The following is a 21,644-nucleotide window of genomic DNA, read 5'->3' on the forward strand; positions in this document are numbered from 1 at the left end:
GAAATCAAGGGATTCCCCACATTATTTTATATAGGATCAAATGAAATCTGCCTGCAGGGCATGCATATATGTATTTTAGTAGAAAGTGTCAATCTGTTTCTGCTCTTTTAGCCACCCTTAATAAAAAAAAGATACAAAAAGTCATAAGAAGATAAAACAAAAATAATTGACATCTGAATTTAGAATGTATCTTATTTAGTTATTTAGTTATTTGTTTGTCATCTGAGTACATACGTGCTATGGCAATTAACACTGAATAGGCTACTTCCCCTAGGCCTAGAACACTGGCTGAGATGCACTAGGAACATGCTAGATAAGAGAGAGACTAAATTAAGACTTGTTAAGTAATATGAATAATTCATTTAATCATAATTAATCCACAAGGATAATGGAGAGGTGAGTGATGCATGGAATCAAGGTTATATGAGTCTAATATTATATATTAGGCCCTCCAAGGAAACACACCATTGTAAGCCCGGAGTTTTACCAGTGTGTACAAGGAGTGAATTCATGACTCACAGTGTTCTGAGGCTGCTCTGGACATGCAATCTTGCATGCTTTTGTCATGACAGGTCTTAAGAAGTTTATCAGCTTTCTCAAATAGCTGAATGACAGAACACTGGATTTTTGTTCAGATAGCCTATCAACTTGGCATCTGTGTTGCGGTTGTCACTTGGTAACAAGATAAGTACTTCGACAGAGGTGTTACACTCCCTAACAAAGCTGACTTCATGTGCAGACTTTCTCACACTCATAGCTGGCCCAGGGCCACTTCTTAAAATAGGTGAGGTTTGTTTTCTTTGCCCTGTCTCTCGGGACCTTGCCTCCCGGTGGCCTAAGCCTATGCTTATTCAAAGCCTTCTCATTCTCCTATCCTCGTCACACACCCCGAAACTCCTTCCTGGACCACCCCTTTCTCTGTAAAACCCGCTTCACAGGAATTTAGATACATGTAATATTTCTCCCAAAGCCGTTAACAAACAAAGTGTTGTTGCTAATTTATTCTCTGATAAAGAGATTTCAAAAAGTGTATATTGGAGAATGTTTTAGCCAAGATGTCCCAAATTCACACCATGGAGGTGACTGCCTTCACCTCCATTTGGTTCGGCTCACAGCAACAACTACTTAAATTTCTGGAATAAATCATGCTATCTAACTACTAAGGCTAATTAATACTAATGATCTTTGCTATAAATTAACATAGTTTCAATATGTCTAACTGGAAGTCATTAAAAATAAGGTTATTATATAGAATTTTATATTAAAATAGGACTTTCTTTTGACCTACATTCATATCATGTTTGAGATAATTTCAGTGGTGATATTACTGCTGATACAGAAATGATGCATTTTCCTAATTTGTACATTCCCCATATATCCACAAATCATGTAAAATAGGTAATTATGGAAGTATCACTGTTTGCTCTTCAAAGTGAAGAGGATAGAAATGCATTACAATGTGCCAAACATGAGTAAGTCATTCAGCAAACACTAAGTGAACACCTAATATGAGCCAAATGCCTGTCCTAGCCACTGGGGAAAACCATTATAGTCTTGGAGTTCATGGTTGTTACCATCCAGCAGGGAAGATAGGCACTGAAGAGTAAACTACACAGGTTATGCAATCACAGTTGGTTAGATGTTTCAAAGAAAAAGCACAGTGTATGCAAGTCTCAGATTAGATATTAGAACTTTATTACTTATAAAGTTATTGTCTTCTTTTGGAAATTATTTCTCCTTTATATATGATTCATTGTAGTGATAGTCAGGAGAGAAAAAACACCTCAATACAGAAACTTTGGTAAATTATTTCTGATTTTAAAAGTAATGCATGCCTATTATGGAAAATGTGGGACTTTTTTAAGGTACAAAGAAAGACAATGGTAAATCTATAAAGTTACCACTTAGACATAAATCCTGTTTATGTTTTGAAGAAATATTATGTTAAGTAATATTTCTTCTGCATGTATTGTATTTATATAATTAATATCATACTGTCCATATAATTTTATTTCCTTTCATTTCCCCCTTATGATTATCTTGTATACATTTTCCTAGAAAATAAGACACTTTCTGTTTCATTAATCTCATATTCCGTAGGAGTGACCTGCTCTGCAATTGTTGCCTGTATTATTTCAGGTTATTTGAGAAAGCTTAATCTGATGTATTTTCTATTGGTAAGGAACACTCTTTAGTGACTGTGCTTTTTTTCTAGTTGACCTACTGGCTGGGTGACTGCTATAGTCTCCTAATACATTTCTCACCCTTTAGATTCTTTCTCTTCTGAATTTTCAGATTTTTCTTCATAAAACACCACTTTTTACAAGTCACTTCCCTTCTCCAGAGTTTACAGTAGACTGCCTTTAGCTTAGATCCCAACTCAGCCTGAGATCAAAGGCTCCTCTATAAGATCTGTTCCTTTTCTCCTTTCCTCCTCTATAAGATCTGTTCCTTTTCTCCTTTCCTCCTCTATAACACCAACTCGGATCCAGACAGACCTCAGGAAGCTATTCGATGATCTTTGCTTCCCACTTCTATAATATTAGTGCCTTCCTCTCTCTATTGTCTATTTTTCATTTATCTCAGCTCTTTGCTCAAGACCCTAACACACATTATCAATCGTTTCCCTTCTTTCTATGATACTTACTATTAGCACCACTCAATTTGGGTTTAAGTTACATATTATCTTTTACAAGTCTCTCTAGTTGTTTGAGGTGTGAAAGTCTAGTCTTCTTATACTAGAGCTCATAAATTGCTCTAATCTAGGCAGAAAGGCAGCTCCCAAACCGGACACTAAGAGTCACCCTATTATATATCAGCTAATATTATGCGGCACTCACTACCAACGAGAATCTGCTAAGGACTTGGCAGGCATCATCTCGTTGATTATTCACAGCAGCCTGTATTATTTAGAATGCTTTTGGCTGCAAATGACAGAGAACCCATAGCGTCGAATGCTGCTTAAACAATACAGACTTGTTTATTATAATATCTCAGCAACAGCAAGAACAAAAACTAGAGGTAGGTGGTTTCTAGCACTGGCCAATGTCAGAGCTCTTGTTTGGGATCGCTGCAAATTTCTCAGTCTTCCTATATGGTTGAAATATGACTGTGACTGTGGCATCTTCTGGCATCACATCCTCGCACAACCATGCTCAAAGTTGGGTAGGAAGGGATGGTATAGATATGGAGGTTCTTTCTTCATGCTTTCTTCTGTTAAGGAAAGAAAACCTTTTGCCAAACATTCCCCAGTGGATTTCTCCCAAAACGCTTTGTCCAGAATTGGGTTTATATGTCCACCCATTTCCAACCCACCCCCACCCTGCCCAACACACACACACCCCCTACAAGACTGGCAGCTAGGCTTTCCTTTCCTGAGATCAAGGGCTCTCTGAATAATACCCGAAGAAAATTAGGAAGAAGGGTAGCAGAAAGGCATTGATTGGGGTAGGCAATCAACAGTACCAGCTGTATAGAATTATTAGAAAATTAGAAGTTAGAGTAGTTGAGAAATACGTGCAAGATTATACAACTAGTAAATGGCAAAAAGAAGATTCTGAGTCTGAGACTTTTCTGAGTCTCTCAGTATTCATATCCTTGTTCACCACAGTATAGGGCCTCTCTAGAGAGTTTTAGCATGTTACTCCACCCATTAAAAATATTTGGTAAGAATTTGCTTGATGCTCACCACTGTTCTTGCTGCTCAAGGGAAACCAAGTATATATTTGTGGATAGATCCTAACTCAGATGATACTGTCAGAATATATAAGATTCCTATACCACATCCTGAACTCTGAAAGTTGCAGTTCTACGTAGAAGTTCACTGAGGGTTGTAAGAGTCAGAATGGACTCCATGGAAGTTATGGGGTGTGAATCAAACCTCACAGGTGAGTCAGTGGGGAGAAAGAAGCATGACATTCCTCTTGAGAATAACTGGAATGAAAATAATACGGTGAGAAAGAGTAGCACCTGAAAAGTGAGTGAAGGAAAGGGTGGTGGAAGTTCTAGGTACATTGATATCTGTCCCAACTTGTTGAGCTGTCAATGTGTGGTTAAAAAACAGTTAAACAGGCCAGGCCCGGTGGCTCACACCTGTAATCCCAGCACTTTGGGAGGCCGAGGTGGGCGGATTGCCTGAGGTCAGGAGTTTGAGACCAGCCTGGCCAACATGGTGAAACCCCGTCTCTACTAAAAATACCAAAAATTAGCCAGTCGTAGTGGTGGGCACCTGTAATCCCAGCTATTCAGGAGGCTGAGGCAGGAGGATCACTTGAACCCAAGAGGCGGGAGTTGCAGTGAGCAGAGATCACGCCATTGCACCCCAGCCTGGGCAACAAGAGTGAAACTCGATCTCAAAAAAACAAAAACAAAAACAAAAAACAGTTAAACAGATGGTTGGTCACATAGACATTACCAGAGGGGTCTTCTTGGACAGAGGCTGAAAAGAAAGAAGGGACTTAGCTCACCACCAGACTCCTCAGCACTCACGGGAGAAGAGCACTAAGGACAAAGGGGCACTTAACACGTGTAAAAGGGCAATGGCTCCTAATAAAGGATAAGATCTGTTTTCTTTTTATTTTATTTTTTGTTTTTGAGATGGAGTCTCACTCTGTCACCCAGGCTGGAGTGCAGTGGCACAGTCTCAGCTCAATGCAACCTCCACCTCCCAGGTTCAAGTGATTCTTCTGCCTCAGCCTCTCAAGTAGCTGGAACTGGAGATGTGTGCCACCACGTGCAGCTAATTTTTGTATTTTTAGTAGTGACAGGGTTTCACCATGCTGGCCAGGCTGGTCTCAAACTCCTGACCTCAAGTGATCCTCCCGCCTCGGCCTCCCAAAGTGCTGGGATTACATGCATGAGCCACCACACCCGGCCATAAGATCTATTTTATAATCAAGAGAAGATGAAAAATTCTTCTTGTGTCAGGATATTAGGGTAGAATCCGAGTTATTTCGAAAATTACAGCTTGAGACAATGTAAGACAGATTAAAATAGAGAATTTCTAAGACAGAAAATGGATTTTTTCTTCCCTCCCATGCCCTAAGCATCGCTTGGGTCTCCCTAGGCTCAAAAGAGAGAGTAAATCTCATTATATTTATATATTGGAAGAAGCCCACAGGCCATGGTTGTCCAAAGCTAGAAGAAGTATTGTAGAATTTGATACTATCCTTGAGCACAAGTATAGTGGGGGAAATCTTGAAACTGGGGCTGACAGATTTTAGCTAACTTTCACAGGCATGTGTAGATATTGACAAATTCTTAAGTTTCAGAGTGACCTCATCCTCCCCCAAAATTTCTTAAACCATGCCTTTACAAACAAGTATTTCTATTCTAATGATGTCTTCCTGAGTAAAATGTTGAATCACTCAAAGGACACAGATCAAAAGACAGAGGGAGAAAAAAAAATGCCATGTGGGAGGGGCAAAGCTGTATAAAACCAGTCATTACCATGTCTGAACTGTAACAACTCTCAGAGGAGCATTGCCCGTCAGACAGCAACTCAGAGAATAACCAGAGAACAACCAGGTATTTCAATGATTTCCATGCCATGTCTATGGGAAATAGGGTTTCATGTTTTCTCTTCCCTCATGCTGGTATTAATAGATTGAAAATTTGGATGTGGGGTGTTTGTAGAGGGCGAGTAAAATTTAAGTGGTGTTTTCTTGTTTAGTTGTTGAATTGAAAATATTTTATTTCAAGATTTGAATTAAATTTATAAGGTTTAATTTTGAATCTCAGAAGCCAACAAATACCTTTGTAGCATTAACCAAAACAAAATGTACATTCAGATTGTGATGCCAATTTTATTGAACAGATTAGATTATATATGTTCTCTACTAGCTACTGTTTTGACACTAAATTTGATGGAAACAACTAGATACATTAAAATATTTTCATTTAAGCAATTGAATGTAATCTCTACATTGTATATAAATAATAGGAAAAGAAGACTTCATTTGCACCTTAAATGAAAAAGCAGGAACTGCAAAAATTAAGTAGCAATTTGGGCTGGGTCAATCTAGTACAACAATATGTTTATTGAGTTTAGTTCAATAATGGGTCAATTTAGTGAAAGAGAATAATCAGCCAAAGTAGTTGCAGGGTTGACTGAAGTATGGTTCAGTAAATAACTTAATATCCCATAAAAAGATACTTATTCATTATGAAAGCCATCAACTAGGAGAAATTGCTTTTAATTCTGTTGGGGGAGATGTAGCAGTATTTGATGAGATATTCCCTTGAAACTGTTGTTTTCTCTTAGTTCTCATTAATTTTTGTGGTCAATTTCAAAATATTTCCACTGTCTAATTGTAAACAAAATTTGTTTTAAATGCTACAGCAAACTCCAATCTAACATCCAGGGCCAACAGGGTGAGAGACAATGGCCGTGTGCCTGGTGACTCCTCCCAAATTCTTCCTTCCCTGTGCCAAGTTTCAGTGGTGCATTTGTCAACTTGTGTTGCAGGAACCAACACACACACCACCAGGAAGCCCAACCCTGCATATTACTCCCATTAATTCATCCCAGTAATACTATTAAACCTTAATTAAGAGCATACTATTTGGAAGTTAATGAGATCATATAAATTACTATAATGTTAAAAAATTCACAACAGGTATACCTGTTCCAGGAGGCTGTGGTATTTCACAATACCCCATGACTTCAATTTTGCCTTGTTTTGAAAGATTTTCATTCAAACATAAAGTATGGCCTTATCTGAGAGTCAGGAAACACTGCATATGGGTGCCTTCATAGATTTCTAAAATTATGAAACTCTCAGACCTTATTTGAAAAGTTTGTAGGAAAGCATTAGACTTGGAATCAGAAGTCTGTGATCCAGTCTAGGCTTCTGAAATGGACCAGCTGTGCAATCTCTATTTTCATATTTTCATTCATATTACAGAAATTACTAAGCCTTACTGGACAGGTAATTATGCAAATTGAAAAGGGAGCTGAAGGAATTTGGTGACTGCCATACAGACATCAAATATTATTTTTACATTAAATGTAATTAATTACACCTTATTTAAAAATATAATTGAAACTATCTTTTTTGAAAGAAGTAAATGCATCCAGGAAAATTTGCTTCTGTTCTTATTAATTTTTTTCTTTATCAAGTTACCTTAAATTCTAACTTAGTATTAACAGAACTTTCTGTTAGTTTGTCTTTAGAGTTAAATATTTTTACTATCAAAGTTACTATGTGGATTGTTACAAAGAATCCGGTATGAATTGTTACAAAGAATCACGTATTTAGGTATGGGAGAAGTCTAAATTTATGTTTGTGGCTCTGATCTCTTATTTACATTTCTCACATGGGGATCGAGAAATATTTTATTTGTGTTATTAATACTCAGTTTGTTTCCAAAAGATATTGAGATAATTAATTTTAAAAATCTGTACAATAAATCTATTTAATTATGAAGACAATTTTAAGAGGAAGAGGAACAAATTTTTGAGCCATCCAATGTAATCTAGTATCTATGATGAAGCAAGAGAAAAAAAAAGTGACTTTTTGTTTTTACTTCCTAATAAGCCTTCTAGTAGAATTACAGGTTTACTACTTTTTTCTTTTGACTTCCTCTTTCTAGCATTTCTTGCACTACAACTTGCTTAAGCTCTTACACTTCATAGTGAAGCTATGCACCACCGAGTGAAGCGATGTGGAACATTGGAAAGAGTGGGCTTCCTTAGACAGACCTGGGCTTGAATCCCTGCTCCACTACCTACCAGCTGTGTGACCTTATACAAGTTACTTAATGTTTCTGAGCATCAGGATATAATCTATAAAATAGGGAGAATCACCTCTACCTCATACAGATTCTGCAAAGATTAAACGAGGAGAGGAGGTGAGAGAGTTTTAGGGATACGTTTTATTTAATTTACTATTTTTGTCTTGATAAAATAGTCTGGTTGTATTCCAAATGAGACATTTTAATACAAATAAATTCCAATCACTTTCTTAAAAAAAAAGAGTTCATGAATCAAGGGTTCACGCAAGAAAGAAGCGACCAATGGTCCTTGTTGGAGAGCAATGCTGTGTGAGACCACAGGTGTACACAGCCAAGACCAGAGCCAGAGGACATGCTTCCTCCTGGGTACTTCCAGCCCCTCCCCAGTTCGGGGAAGGCACTGTCATAAGAAGGTTTCCTGAGGGATGATCAGTATCAGCATTGTTTGGTATATTTACATATTTTGATAATTATCGGGTATGTTGCAAGCTATGATGAAAGCAAAACATACAGCTGGAAAGACGATCATTGGTCAGGACCAAAAAACACACACACCTTGGGTGTGAGCATGCATTCAGTTGCCTGCAGAGCCTGAGGTCAGGGAAGGTCTCAGATGGTTCATACCTTGGTGTATACATGAGTTTCATAGGCCTGGGATTAAGGATTATCCCTGCAATCTTGCCTGGCATTGACTTTCTACCTGGTGGGGTGGCAGAAGAAGGGGGTCTTCTAGTCCTCCCAGTAATGAACACCCCAGTATAGGAAGTCTTTTTTAGTAAGGCTGTGGTATGTGTGGTGCATATAGGGAAGGGGTTCTGGGATAGGGGCTGGGTGAAACTCCAAACCTTCAAACAATGAGTCAAAGTCACTTTAGAAGCAGGAAAGCAGAAAGAAGATTGACCGTCTTACCAGATGCAACAAGGTATGTATGCAGGTGGCATATATTTCAATATGTGTATATCTTCCTGTGTGGCAGTGTGTGTGGTGTGGATGTGTGCGTTGTGCTTGTGGGGGCAGCATAGAAGTTGAGAGCATGATCCTAGGGTCTGCCTATCTGGCTTCAATTCCTACTCCTGTCCCTATATATTGTCATTGTTATTCTATGGAATGCCACAAAGTGTCGCTGCTCATCATACAAAACACTTCATGTATCTCAGGACTGGCTATGTAATTTACAGCGTCTGGTGCACAATGAAAATGTGGGCCTTTTGTTTAAAATTATCAAGAATTTCAAGATGGCGATAGGAGGGCATTTGGCTAAACAAGGGGCTTTTTACGGCTGCACAGGTGGTATGTCCATGAAGCTGTCCCTGACCTGCCTCATGTTGTTCCATGAGGAAGAACAGACAGGGAATCTGTCCCTACACAGAATGCAGCCTGTCCTACTGTTGCTGACCTCACCCAAAATGTTACCTTATGTTTCAGAGCTGTTTTTTTCTTCCTCTCTTTGCTTCTAGATTGAAACAATGGAGGATCTTTGTGTGGCAAACACACTCTTTGCCCTCAATTTATTCAAGCATCTGGCAAAAGCAAGCCCCACCCAGAACCTCTTCCTCTCCCCATGGAGCATCTCGTCCACCATGGCCATGGTCTACATGGGCTCCAGGGGCAGCACCGAAGACCAGATGGCCAAGGTGAGTTTGAGCTGAAGCTCCACATTTGGGCCGAGTAGTTCCTGAATGGAATTGGAGAACTGCTCTTGTTTTATGCTAAAGACATTTTAACTCAGGAGGTCAGCAATCATCACAGGTAATGAAGCACTGATCCTTACAACACAAATTCCTTAGATTCAAATCTATAAGACAGCCAAGCCCCCGAATCCCTCAACTGTAGCTGTTGAAGGCATATGGGAGTTGAATAGCCTGCAAGGCTGGACACAGTTATGAGTGACCACATCTTATATTTTAATAATATAATATTCTTATTTTTCAAAGTTAGTGTTTTGTACCCATTATCTCATTCAGTTTTAAGACAGATATCATTTTACAGATGAGAGCCCTGGTGGTGTCAGAGAAGCCCCCACTGTCTCCTAACTCCTAGCCTGGGCTCCTTCCCATTACTGTGCCACTGTGGTGTTTGTTCCCTATTCCTATGAAGAATTCCTTCTAATAATGTTAAGAGAGTATCACAAAGGGAAAAAAAAAAAAACATACCAGGGTGGTGCTCACTATACCCACAGGATGCATGGATAGTGTTGTAGCTGCAGAAGATCATGCCTGTGAGGTCACGGTAGCAGAATGAGACCTGGCATTATTATGGCCAGCCCTGAAAACCAAGGTAGATGGGATGCACAACATCATTGTGAGGGATTTCTGCAAGGCCACTGCCTGCCTTCCTTGGTGAATGGACGTGGACTCAGTCAGGAAACTCTTTCCACGGAGTCTGGGCCCTTGAAATTATGCCGGACTACTTCAATTATACACTGCAATCGTTACTGTAATAGTCACTCAGCACATACAAAATTCTTGTGATCATGTTACTTCCAAGGTTAGTGACCTCGATGTGGCCATGATATCATTAAAATTCCTTTGCATTCACACATACAAACATTAACATTAAATGCTTTAAGGACACGCATGCATTGTGCATGCAGTCACACCAAGATGCCGCCGGCTGGTTTCCAGTTTCCCACGAGAATGTACCTGAGTGTAAATACATTCTTTCCATGCACATGGTGACCCATGTAAGGTGGGCCTCATTTGAAGTTTGAAGTTTCACAGAGAGAGCATTGGCCAATATTGCTGCAGGAAGACAAGGGATGGGTGAATCAATCTCTGTGTTTGTGACAGTTTAAACATTGAGACTTACAACAAAACTCAATTGCTCAACTCCCTGACACAAGTAGTCTTTTGCAATATTCTTTCCCCATTATTTTTTATTTTTTGCCTTGAAAGAATAAAGATAGTAAATTGGCACAAAAGCTTTAGAAACATCAGGTCTTAGGTTTTTTTCTTTTTTCCTTTCTTTTTTTTGAGATGGAGTCTCGCCCTATCACCCAGGCTGGAGTGCAGTGGTGCGATCTTGGCTCACTACAACCTCCAACTCCCAGGTTCAAGCCATTCTCCTGCCTCAGCCTCCCGAGTAGCTGGGATTACAGGCGCCTGCCACGATGCCCATCTAATTTTTGTATTAGTAGAGATGGGGTTTCACCATTTTGGCCAGGCTGGTCTCAAACTCCTGACCTTGTGATCCACCTGCCTCGGCCTCCCAAAGTGCTGGGATTATAGGCGTGAGCCAGTGCACCCGGCCTAGGTTTTTTTGTTTTTTAAATGTAAAGGAATCAGTAGCAATATATTTTGGGAGCAAATGCTAAATGAAGTGCTCTGGGTTGTTAAAGTAAAAATCTTGATTTTGGTACTAGAGGAAAATAAACTGATTGCTCTGGACACAAGACAGCTTTTCTGTGTCTAAGAAGTGCTTTAAGCCTTTGGGACTATGCGAGGATTCTATATAGTCTTTTTTTTTTTGAGACTCTATATATATCGTCTTTTGACAACTCTGTTGCATGTGTAGATTTTGAAATTCAAATGTTAATATGATTGCTTCCCAGATAAAAAGAAAAAGACATTTATTGGCTGGAGAAAGCAGCACAGACTTTGGGGACAGACGTATCTGTGTTTGAGTCATGGCTTTGTTCCTTACTACATGTGTGTGAGGACATTGAAACCATTTGCATCTCAGTTTTCTCATCTACAAAATGGGAATAAAAATGTGTAGCATGCAAGAAAGTTGTGAAGATTAGAGGTACTATGTAAGGCACTTAGTAGCAGTTGCTATAATAACAACCAATACTTATTAGTGCCTTAGCCAGGCATCTTTCTAAGAACTTCTTATAAATTTACTCACATAAGACAAAATATTATGAGGTAGGTACGATGATTACCGTACTCATTTTACAGATGAGGGAATCAGGGCAAGAAGAGGCCACACAGTTGAGAATTGCTGTAGCTGTTAGAAGTGGTACATTTGTAGTGAAAGAAAAGAATACATAAAAGATATAAGCTCCTGGATGGCATAGGTCTGTGGGAATTAGGATATAAGCTCTTTTCCTTACAGTGAGGCAACAGACCCATCCAGGCCAAACTGCCTCACTATTTTCTCTGTGGCCTTTGTGTGGACTAGGGGCAGCTCACAGTCCCACTTTTGCAGGGACATCTCCCTGAGTGACTTTAACACTGATTCAGGAAGGCTTTAGTGCTAGCCCAAAGAACCCTGATTTAAGGGTCAATTTCCTTGGAAGAGAGGAAAACCAGCCAAGCTGTCGTAGGAAATCTTCTTCTTTTACGTGAGGGTGGAGTTGCACCACTTCTTTTCAGAGAGTACTAGGCAGGACTTACGATGTATGACTCAAAGAGCAGAAAAAGACCTCACAAACCCTAACACCTCTCCTTCTAGCCCAGAAATTCACCAACTTGCTGGACAAGGCTGCCTTAATTAACTTCATTAGCAGAACCCCAACCATCAAGCCACTTACCAGATCAGCTTCTCCTCAGGGACCCCATAGGGAGGTGCTGCAGGACCAAGGGTTCCCAAGGAGGTGGGATGGGGTGGGTGGCTGGGAGGCAGGGCCAGCTTGCAGGTATTAAGACTGGCAGACCAAGGCGGGCAGGCAGCAGTGTTGTGGGAAGGGGATCTGAGGAAGCTTCAGAGGGGACAGTCCTTGCTGCCAGCTTCCCCGTGTCAGCCAAAACTGCCTACTTACTATACGAAGAGATTCACAGTGTCATCAGACCAACTTGTCCCTCACATGGACATAAATTTCTCTGTGTATGAATATGGTATGTGTAAATATTTTAGGTGAACCCTGTTAATATTGCATGACCTGTTTTATGCCTTAGCTGACTCTGGCTTGTAGTTTTTGACAGATTGAAAGTATTTTGTGTATAAGGCCACTGAAAAGAGAGAGACACACAAGGTTCTGAGTTAATCTTGTGACTTTCTTTAAAATACTGGCATTTTTTTTTCAAGACCATTTATTGGTTGGATATAATTTAGATAATTTGGGGAAGAGGTTTTAAATCATTTCATAATAACAATTTGTTTTCCAAAATGGCCAGGATATAAATTAATCTAAAACACCTCATGCTGTTTTCTATAAGGGAAATTTAGGTTGGCTGATACTTTTATATTACACAGAAAGAGTATTGAGTATCTATGGTTGTTCCCCATGTATAAGGGAAGGGAAAAGATCTAGGACCATTTTAGAGCCACCTGATAGCCATCTGTTTTAAAAGTTCAGTAAATCCGTGGGCAAGTGTAACCGTTTTCTCTAATTCTGATTGCAGGTGCTTCAGTTTAATGAAGTGGGAGCCAATGCAGTTACCCCCATGACTCCAGAGAACTTTACCAGCTGTGGGTTCATGCAGCAGATCCAGAAGGGTAGTTATCCTGATGCGATTTTGCAGGTATCTGACTTACTGGTCCAAATTTCTTTTGTGGTTTATTTTTGCAATCTTCCTGTCTTAAAGCCACAGTGTCAGACTGGGAAGGAAGCGAATATACCCTCCCCCATTCACAGAAAGAAAACTAAGACTCAGAGTCATTAAGAAAAACATGTCCTAAGATGATACCCATAACGAGAGACGAGCCAGGACAGAATCCAGACTTCATGAGTTTTAGGCCAAGCCTATTTACTTCTAAATTCTCTCATGCCTCTCTGTCATTGGTGAGGTATGTGTAATTTATCATAAATCCACAGTAGAGACTCCTAGAATACACGTGTATGGATAAGGATTTCCAGAGGAGAGAGGGTAGGGACTGACAATTGATTGAGAAATGGCAGAAGGCTGGGCCCAATGATTGCATGAGAAATCACTGACCTTCAGGTAACTTTCCTTCTATCTATCTAATCTATCATCTATCATTGATCTCTCTCATCTATCTTACCTATCATACATCTATCAATCCTATCTATCTATATATTTTATGAATCATCTATTTATCATCTATCTTCTCTGTCATCTGTCTATCTTATCTATTTATCAATCAGCTATCTCGGGGAGTAACACCTTTCCTCAGTACTCCATTTCCTTAAATGTCAGCTATCCAGTTAAATTATAAAAACTGAGTATAGACTGCTCCTGTTGGCAACCAACTTCCACAGTCATGCTTATGAGGTAGATTATGAAGAGGTATCTCCCAAAGCTCTCTTCCTGGGCACTCTGAAGCTCCTTCTACCCATTGCCCAGGGAATTATGGGCTAGAGGAGGTGGACAGGATCCTGATCATGTGGAGATTCCGCCAGGTGTTCTGTGGTACCTGGCAGTCCATCAGGAGGGCTCTGTCCCCTGCCCTAGGACAGGCTGCTGCTGTGACCAAGCCCTGTGTCTGACATGGTGCTTACAAACTTCAGTTTGAGAACTGAAATAACCATTCACTTTTGTGGTTTTCTAAAACCCATGTTTTCCACTGCATAGTTTGCCCCATAAAATAGGTATCTAGAGAAGCTATATGAACTTTGTAAGATCATTACTAAGGCAACATTTCCTCCCTGCCAGCTTTACTGAGGTATAATGGACAAATAAAAATTGTACATGTTCAAGATGTACAGTGTGATGACTTGCTATACCTATACATTGTGAAATGATTACAGTCAAATTAATGAGCACATCCATCACTACAATTACCCACCATTTGTATGTATGTGTGTATGTATAGTGAGGACACTTAAAAAATATATTCTTCACAAATTTCAAGTAAACAGTTTTATTAACTATAACTATTAATGAACACAATCTTATTAACTATAGTCATTATACTGTACATTAGATCCCCAGAACTTATCCATCTTATAAATACAACAAAAATTCCTTAGAGACTTTGAAGTTTAGGAAACTGAGAAGGGGCCTTTCTTCTAGGCTGTTGGTCACCTGGTTAAATCCAATCCATAGACAGAGCAAAATTGGAAAGAAATTAAAATTCACCTTATTAGTTTTAATGTACCACATCCTTATCGAAATGATTTTCTCAAAGATTCCTCTAATGTACCAAAAATAAAGTATGTATTAATATAGCATTTCATGATTGTATTCAAAAACTATTACCATGGCTTAAGAACTATCTTGTTTAGTAGTTCTGTGTTATATATAAAGAATTCCTTCTTTCTTTTCAAGGCACAAGCTGCAGATAAAATCCATTCATCCTTCCGCTCTCTCAGCTCTGCAATCAATGCATCCACAGGGAATTATTTACTGGAAAGTGTCAATAAGCTGTTTGGTGAGAAGTCTGCGAGCTTCCGGGAAGTAAGTGAAACCTGTAATTGAAATGGCTGGATCCCAAACAAGTAATGAAGTCACTTTCAAAGCAGTTCTCTACAATTCAACAGTTCATAAAAGCAGAGTTGGAATTCCACACCAGCTCCCTAGGGCTGGCCTTGCGTAACAGCTGCCCTTCCTGTACCCTCTGGGGCTTCCTCCTCTTCCCATTGCAAATGTCCCAATCTCAGAGTCATAAATCAGGAAAACAAATGCAACTGTTTTCCAGAGACACTATCCCCCAAGTCAAACCTCTTTCCTTTTATTCTGTCTCTATAATGCAAGGAGTACAAGAGGGTGGATAGAGTTGGGGAGTAAGCGTGGACAAAGGGGTCTGCACTCTTTCCCCCTTCAGCACCTGCCTTCCATAGCCAACCTCCACTCCCACCCTACCCCAGGTCTCCTAATTTCAATGGGAAGACCATAATTCACCATTATGCCATGGCTTGTTTGGTATGTATTTTATGTAGCCTTTGTCATTTTCTTGCTTTAAAGGAATATATTCGACTCTGTCAGAAATATTACTCCTCAGAACCCCAGGCAGTAGACTTCCTAGAATGTGCAGAAGAAGCTAGAAAAAAGATTAATTCCTGGGTCAAGACTCAAACCAAAGGTAAATCCAAGAAAATATTTTATTTACTTCTTTCCAGTTAGAAAACTCTGATCTATCTTTTTCCATCCATGAACTTAGTTAGCCCTCACCCCTTTACAATTTGTCCAACTGCAGTTACTTTGGTGGATGTGAATTTATTCCTGATTAGCTCAGTGGTGTTTTAACTGAGAAGAAATAATTGAGGCCTACTAATAGAAGACATATGTTTAGTACTTAAATATTTGATTTTGGATATTGCTTGAGGATAGAATATGAAAGGAGGCAGAAGCTTTCAAAATAGGAAATATCAGCATTGAAATAATTGTGAGTCTATGCCCACTGTGGACAAAAAGAAAACAAGGCTTGACCCTGAGCTTAGTAAATGGTGTGAGCTATAAAGAATACAGGCAGTGGAGGAGGGAAGAATCATAAAATTATTTTCACTCTTTCTTCTCTTTCACCATTCAAAGCCAATCCATTGTCAAGTTTTTTTGGTCTCTGCTTCATCCCTCCTTGATTATCTAAGTCACGTCTACCATTTTAACTCATGCTTTTAATTGTTTCACAGGCTCCTGCCTCCCTCTGTATATTTTACAATGAATAAATTATTTAATTGAATCATTTATTCATTGTAATTTAGTTTATTAAGTCATTTATTCATTGAATTCATTCATTCATTAAGTTCTATTAAGTTCATTCACTTAGTCAACAAATATTTATCCACCACACACCATATTCCAGAAACTATATGTGGAGATAAAGATAAAAATGGTAAATCCTGCCACCATAGAGCCTATAGAGGAGGGATTCAGTCATGTTGGCAATTGCTATAGAGTAGTAGTCAGTGCTTTCATTGAGAAGTACAGGTGCTATGTGGGAGTACACAGGAAAGGCATCTGACTGGATTTAAAAATGATTAAATTGTAATTGGGAAGACAGGCTGGAGCTGGCCAGGTGGAGGGTGCATGCCTGGGGGGAGATTTCCAGACAGAGTGCACAGAATATGCAAAGGTCCAGAGGTAACCCTAAGGAGAAGAATAGAGTCTGGTCTGACTGCAGTGTGGAGGGCCAAGGGAAGGAGGTGAAATTAAAGAGGTGATGCAGTACACTTATTATGCTATTCCCACACTAAAAACTGTCAGTGACCTCCTACTGTCCTCAGGAGAAGGTCTCATTCTTTACCTTGACTTCTGAGTTCTCAGTAATCCAGTTGACTGTGCTTGGCTACCACTGGCCCTTGGAGCTCCTTAAACACTCATTGCTGCCTCTAGACTTTGTTTCTGAGGATGCCTCAACTACAGGATTTAAGTTGCAGTTTAAATTGCAGCCAAAGTCTTACTCTTTCCTGGAAGTGACTCCCAATTACTTCCTGATCTTTTCTTCTTCTCATCTCCTCATCTGCTTTTTCAGCTTCACAAGTCACATTAGTGTTAGCCATATATGGCCTTAAACAATTATGGAACTGATTTTTGTTAGTTTGTTTTGCTTTTCCTCTCAGGCTCTAATTATTTTTGGGTAGGTCCAGTATGTCACACTTATCCTATGCCCCCACAAAAATTTGCACAGTTTTTTGCTGACAGTGAAAATCCTTCATTCTTCTGAATTTCCAGGTAGAGTTGTAGGCCTTAAGTAAACAATTGCTGAATAATAACATATAAATGTATTTCTAAGAAACAGAGATGATTATGAATTCAGAATTGTGTAAGTATTTCATTCATTTATGATCTGTTAGGATTGAAAATGTCCTAAGAGAGCTCCTATCCATCTTACCAATTTGTGGTTGGAGCATCCTGTTCCCAGGGGATTAGCCGGCTCCCCTAAGATCCCACTGGTAGCGGTAAAGCCAGGGTTGCTTCTTCTTCTGATCCTTAGTCTAACTCCAGAATTCCTCAATCGGATGTTTAAAAATTTTATAACTTATTTTTTTAAGGATTTTCATTTAACTCTTATGTTTAAGACATTGTTTCAAGAAATAGTTTGGTGTCTTGCTTTATTAATTACCACAATGGAAAATGCACATAAACTAAGTGCTATGGGATTTCAAAAAATATATATTTATTTGTTTATCTGAAAATAATTGATTTCCTTTTAGTTCTTCATTTTCATTGTGGATTTGTGAAATACTGTTCTAAAATATTGACAGACCACTGACACAAAGGAAGCAGAGAAAGATGATTTAAATCAAAAGTTCAAGTAAAAATGGAGAGCAAAATTAAAGAGACACATGGAAGTTTTGCCTTCTTTAAAGAATGGCATGAATTGTTTTTCTCTTTAGACATTGTGCTAAATGGCTGTAAGTCAATCAGTTATTTTGCCAAAATGCCAAGCAGCTATTTTGGCAGATTGTTTTACCAGCTTTTGTAAGAATTGGAGAGAATTGTCTGTTTCATCATGCTATGATCAAATACTAGTTTTATCATATACATCACAACATTACTATACCCCAATACTAACCAAAAATTTTAATAGCTTGGGAAATATATTGAATGTATATATTAAATGAATACATTGAAGATGAAACTGATGCAAGGCAGGCAAGCTCCAAAGTGGGGCTTAGCCTTCAAGGGTTCTTGGCTTCACCCAGGAAAGTATTCAAGGGTGAGCTGGAGGTAGGGTAGAAGAAAACAGCTTTATTGAAGTGGCAGTATTACAGCTCCATGATTCCTCCTGCAGAGAAGGGCTACCCCAGGCACTGTGCTGAGAGGCACAGCTCAGGGCAGTTTGGGGGTCATATTTATACCTACTTTTAATTACATGTAGATTAAGGGGCAGTTTACGCAGAAATTTCTAGGGAACGGGGAATAACTTTTGGGTCATCAGGTCATTGCCACAGAAAGAGGTGGTAACTCCAAGGTGTTGCCATCACAATGGTAAACTGACATGGTACACTGCTTCCATCCTGTCCCTGGTCCCCATTTTAGCTAGCCCTCAATTTGGCCTGGTGTCTAAAACCTGCCTCCAGAGTCAGGTCCCACCTCCTACTTCAAAACCACATTGACCTATTAATTTGTTAAGAGTCTTGTATTTGTCAGTAGTTTTGACTGTGGAGGCAGAATTTTTACAAGCTTACCAGCATTGTAACGTTGGGAAGACTGCTAACCTGGTGGTGTCCTTTTGCATAAAATGACACTAATAAAACCCACCTAATAGAGTATCAAAATAATATATTTTGATGCTTGGAATACTGCAGAGCGAGTACTAACTATAAACAAACTGCTTCTTAAACCAATTTCATTTTTTTAAATGACCACACTCATTTGTCATTGTTTCTGTCAATCTTCTCGGGCTTACTCCTTCACTCCCTTCTCTGTATGATCATAGTACTCAATATATTATTTAGCTCAATTACAGAAGTTATCACACAGGGTTTCACAACTGATTTTGAATGTCTCCCCCAGTGTTCTAGGCTCATCCAGGATAATTCTTCCTTTCTCATCTCTTGTATCTGCACTACTCTTAATTTAGGTCTAGTATATTTTTTACAAAACGTTTTTGAATAAATGAGTAAGTCAGATCCTCAGACTATCTAGACCAGATCTAGCAGTACATGATATATTTTGGAAAGGCACTATTATATTCCCTAAGAACCTCTCTTTCACTTCCCTCTGATTTGAATAACTTTCAACTGCCAAGCTTTGAGAAAAGAATATAAAAGGGAGTGAAAATCTCCATTCCAAACTTGATAGGCGGTCTAAATTTTAAATGCATTATTTCTTCATTTTTTCTTGGATTTTGCAAGCTTTTGGGAAATTTGTTTCAATTTTAATTTTGCTTTAAATAAACCTAAAAAACTTTAGCTTGAAGATTAACAACTCTGCAATTTGAAGAATTTAGTTTGATGGCTACTCAGAAGATTCAGTAAGTAATTTCACAGTTCTTGATTATGAAACCTAAATATATGTTATGTTTTCTGTAGGCAAAATCCCAAACTTGTTACCTGAAGGTTCTGTAGATGGGGATACCAGGATGGTCCTGGTGAATGCTGTCTACTTCAAAGGAAAGTGGAAAACTCCATTTGAGAAGAAACTAAATGGGCTTTATCCTTTCCGTGTAAACTCGGTATGAGACAACAAAATACATCTTCCTAGCATATATTTTAGGGCTTTTGACAAGATATAGACAGAAAAATTAGAGACCGCTCATTATAGACTTGCTAGTTAGAAGTTATGCATGTTGGACAGTTGATTGACTCTTTAGAAACAGTATAGGTAAAGGGGAAGACTGTGGCTTTTTAATTATACATGCCCAGACTCCAACGTTGGCTCTACCACTTATTTCAAAGGGCTGTAAATATTGAGACATGGCACGGTTCCTGGCCCATAGTAAGAACTAAACAAGTGTTTTAGAATTATGGTTGTCATTACCATTGTTGTCCATCTTACTAAATAATGGGTATAAAGTTGAACAAGCTAATAACATCAGAGTACCCACTGTAAGGATGTACAAATAATTTATTTTGTTGATTTAAAAAAATCACATTTATCCTACACTAAAGTAGAACCAATCCTCCTTTATGTCTAATTGTAAATCTCTTGATATCTTATAATCGACTTCCATATTTTACCTTTTAATAATATTAGGCTCAGCGCACACCTGTACAGATGATGTACTTGCGTGAAAAGCTAAACATTGGATACATAGAAGACCTAAAGGCTCAGATTCTAGAACTCCCATATGCTGGAGATGTTAGCATGTTCTTGTTGCTTCCAGATGAAATTGCCGATGTGTCCACTGGCTTGGAGCTGGTAAGACATTCAGATATTTAAGTTTCTGGGGCTATACCTACCTTTCGTGAGATGAGATGAATATATACTCCTTACAAATGGTGTGGTAATTTCTCATGGAAATATATGAAACAGTTGATAGTAAATATGGCATGCCTCTACATTTCATTCAAAGCCTTAACTATGTCATACGTGTTACCTTCTTGTAAAAATCTGACCAATCTGTTAACTTTCTATATCACCCACAATATAGTAAAGTCACTGATTTTTAATATTAGACTTAAAGTTGTTTTCCTTCTTTCTAATACTTGCTGTATTTTCTTTTGTTTGTTTTGTTTTGTTTTGCTTTGCAGCTGGAAAGTGAAATAACCTATGACAAACTCAACAAGTGGACCAGCAAAGACAAAATGGCTGAAGATGAAGTTGAGGTATACATACCCCAGTTCAAATTAGAAGAGCATTATGAACTCAGATCCATTCTGAGAAGCATGGGCATGGAGGACGCCTTCAACAAGGGACGGGCCAATTTCTCAGGGATGTCGGAGAGGAATGACCTGTTTCTTTCTGAAGTGTTCCACCAAGCCATGGTGGATGTGAATGAGGAGGGCACTGAAGCAGCCGCTGGCACAGGAGGTGTTATGACAGGGAGAACTGGACATGGAGGCCCACAGTTTGTGGCAGATCATCCTTTTCTTTTTCTTATTATGCATAAGATAACCAACTGCATTTTATTTTTCGGCAGATTTTCCTCACCCTAAAACTAAGCGTGCTGCTTCTGCAAAAGATTTTTGTAGATGAGCTGTGTGCCTCAGAATTGCTATTTCAAATTGCCAAAAATTTAGAGATGTTTTCTACATATTTCTGCTCTTCTGAACAACTTCTGCTACCCACTAAATAAAAACACAGAAATAATTAGACAATTGTCTATTATAACATGACAACCCTATTAATCATTTGGTCTTCTAAAATGGGATCATGCCCATTTAGATTTTCCTTACTATCAGTTTATTTTTATAACATTAACTTTTACTTTGTTATTTATTATTTTATATAATGGTGAGTTTTTAAATTATTGCTCACTGCCTATTTAATGTAGCTAATAAAGTTATAGAAGCAGATGATCTGTTAATTTCCTATCTAATAAATGCCTTTAATTGTTCTCATAATGAAGAATAAGTAGGTATCCCTCCATGCCCTTCTGTAATAAATATCTGGAAAAAACATTAAACAATAGGCAAATATATGTTATGTGCATTTCTAGAAATACATAACACATATATATGTCTGTATCTTATATTCAATTGCAAGTATATAATAAATAAACCTGCTTCCAAACAACAA

At 38.7% G+C, this 21,644-nt stretch overlaps 1 protein-coding gene and 1 long non-coding RNA gene across 4 annotated transcripts; one reads left to right on the top strand and one right to left on the bottom strand.

Annotated features, from left to right (window-relative positions):
- Nucleotides 1–3,041: 3,041 nt before the first annotated feature.
- On the bottom strand, nucleotides 3,042–12,292 carry LOC124904356 (uncharacterized). The gene is made up of 3 exons (XR_007066466.1): nucleotides 12,209–12,292; nucleotides 10,377–10,475; nucleotides 3,042–3,213 (listed from the first exon to the last, which is right to left on the bottom strand). It is a non-coding gene; the product is annotated as an uncharacterized LOC124904356 (long non-coding RNA).
- SERPINB2 (serpin family B member 2) lies at nucleotides 5,461–21,644 on the top strand. 3 transcript variants are annotated; one of them, NM_001143818.2, is made up of 9 exons: nucleotides 5,461–5,526; nucleotides 7,594–7,851; nucleotides 9,192–9,368; nucleotides 13,020–13,139; nucleotides 14,847–14,975; nucleotides 15,483–15,600; nucleotides 19,496–19,638; nucleotides 20,160–20,324; nucleotides 20,657–21,644. In NM_001143818.2, the coding sequence occupies exons 3-9, from the start codon at nucleotides 9,201–9,203 to the stop codon at nucleotides 21,059–21,061; spliced, it is 1,248 nt and encodes a 415-aa protein (NP_001137290.1). In that variant the 5' UTR covers nucleotides 5,461–5,526; nucleotides 7,594–7,851; nucleotides 9,192–9,200; the 3' UTR covers nucleotides 21,062–21,644. The 3 variants fall into 3 exon arrangements, with proteins under 3 accessions (NP_001137290.1, XP_024306960.1, NP_002566.1); XM_024451192.2 differs by having other exon boundaries at nucleotides 5,461–8,656; NM_002575.3 differs by lacking the exon at nucleotides 7,594–7,851.

Source organism: Homo sapiens, chromosome 18, assembly GCF_000001405.40.
Source record: "Homo sapiens chromosome 18, GRCh38.p14 Primary Assembly".
NCBI classification, from domain to species: domain Eukaryota; kingdom Metazoa; phylum Chordata; class Mammalia; order Primates; family Hominidae; genus Homo; species Homo sapiens.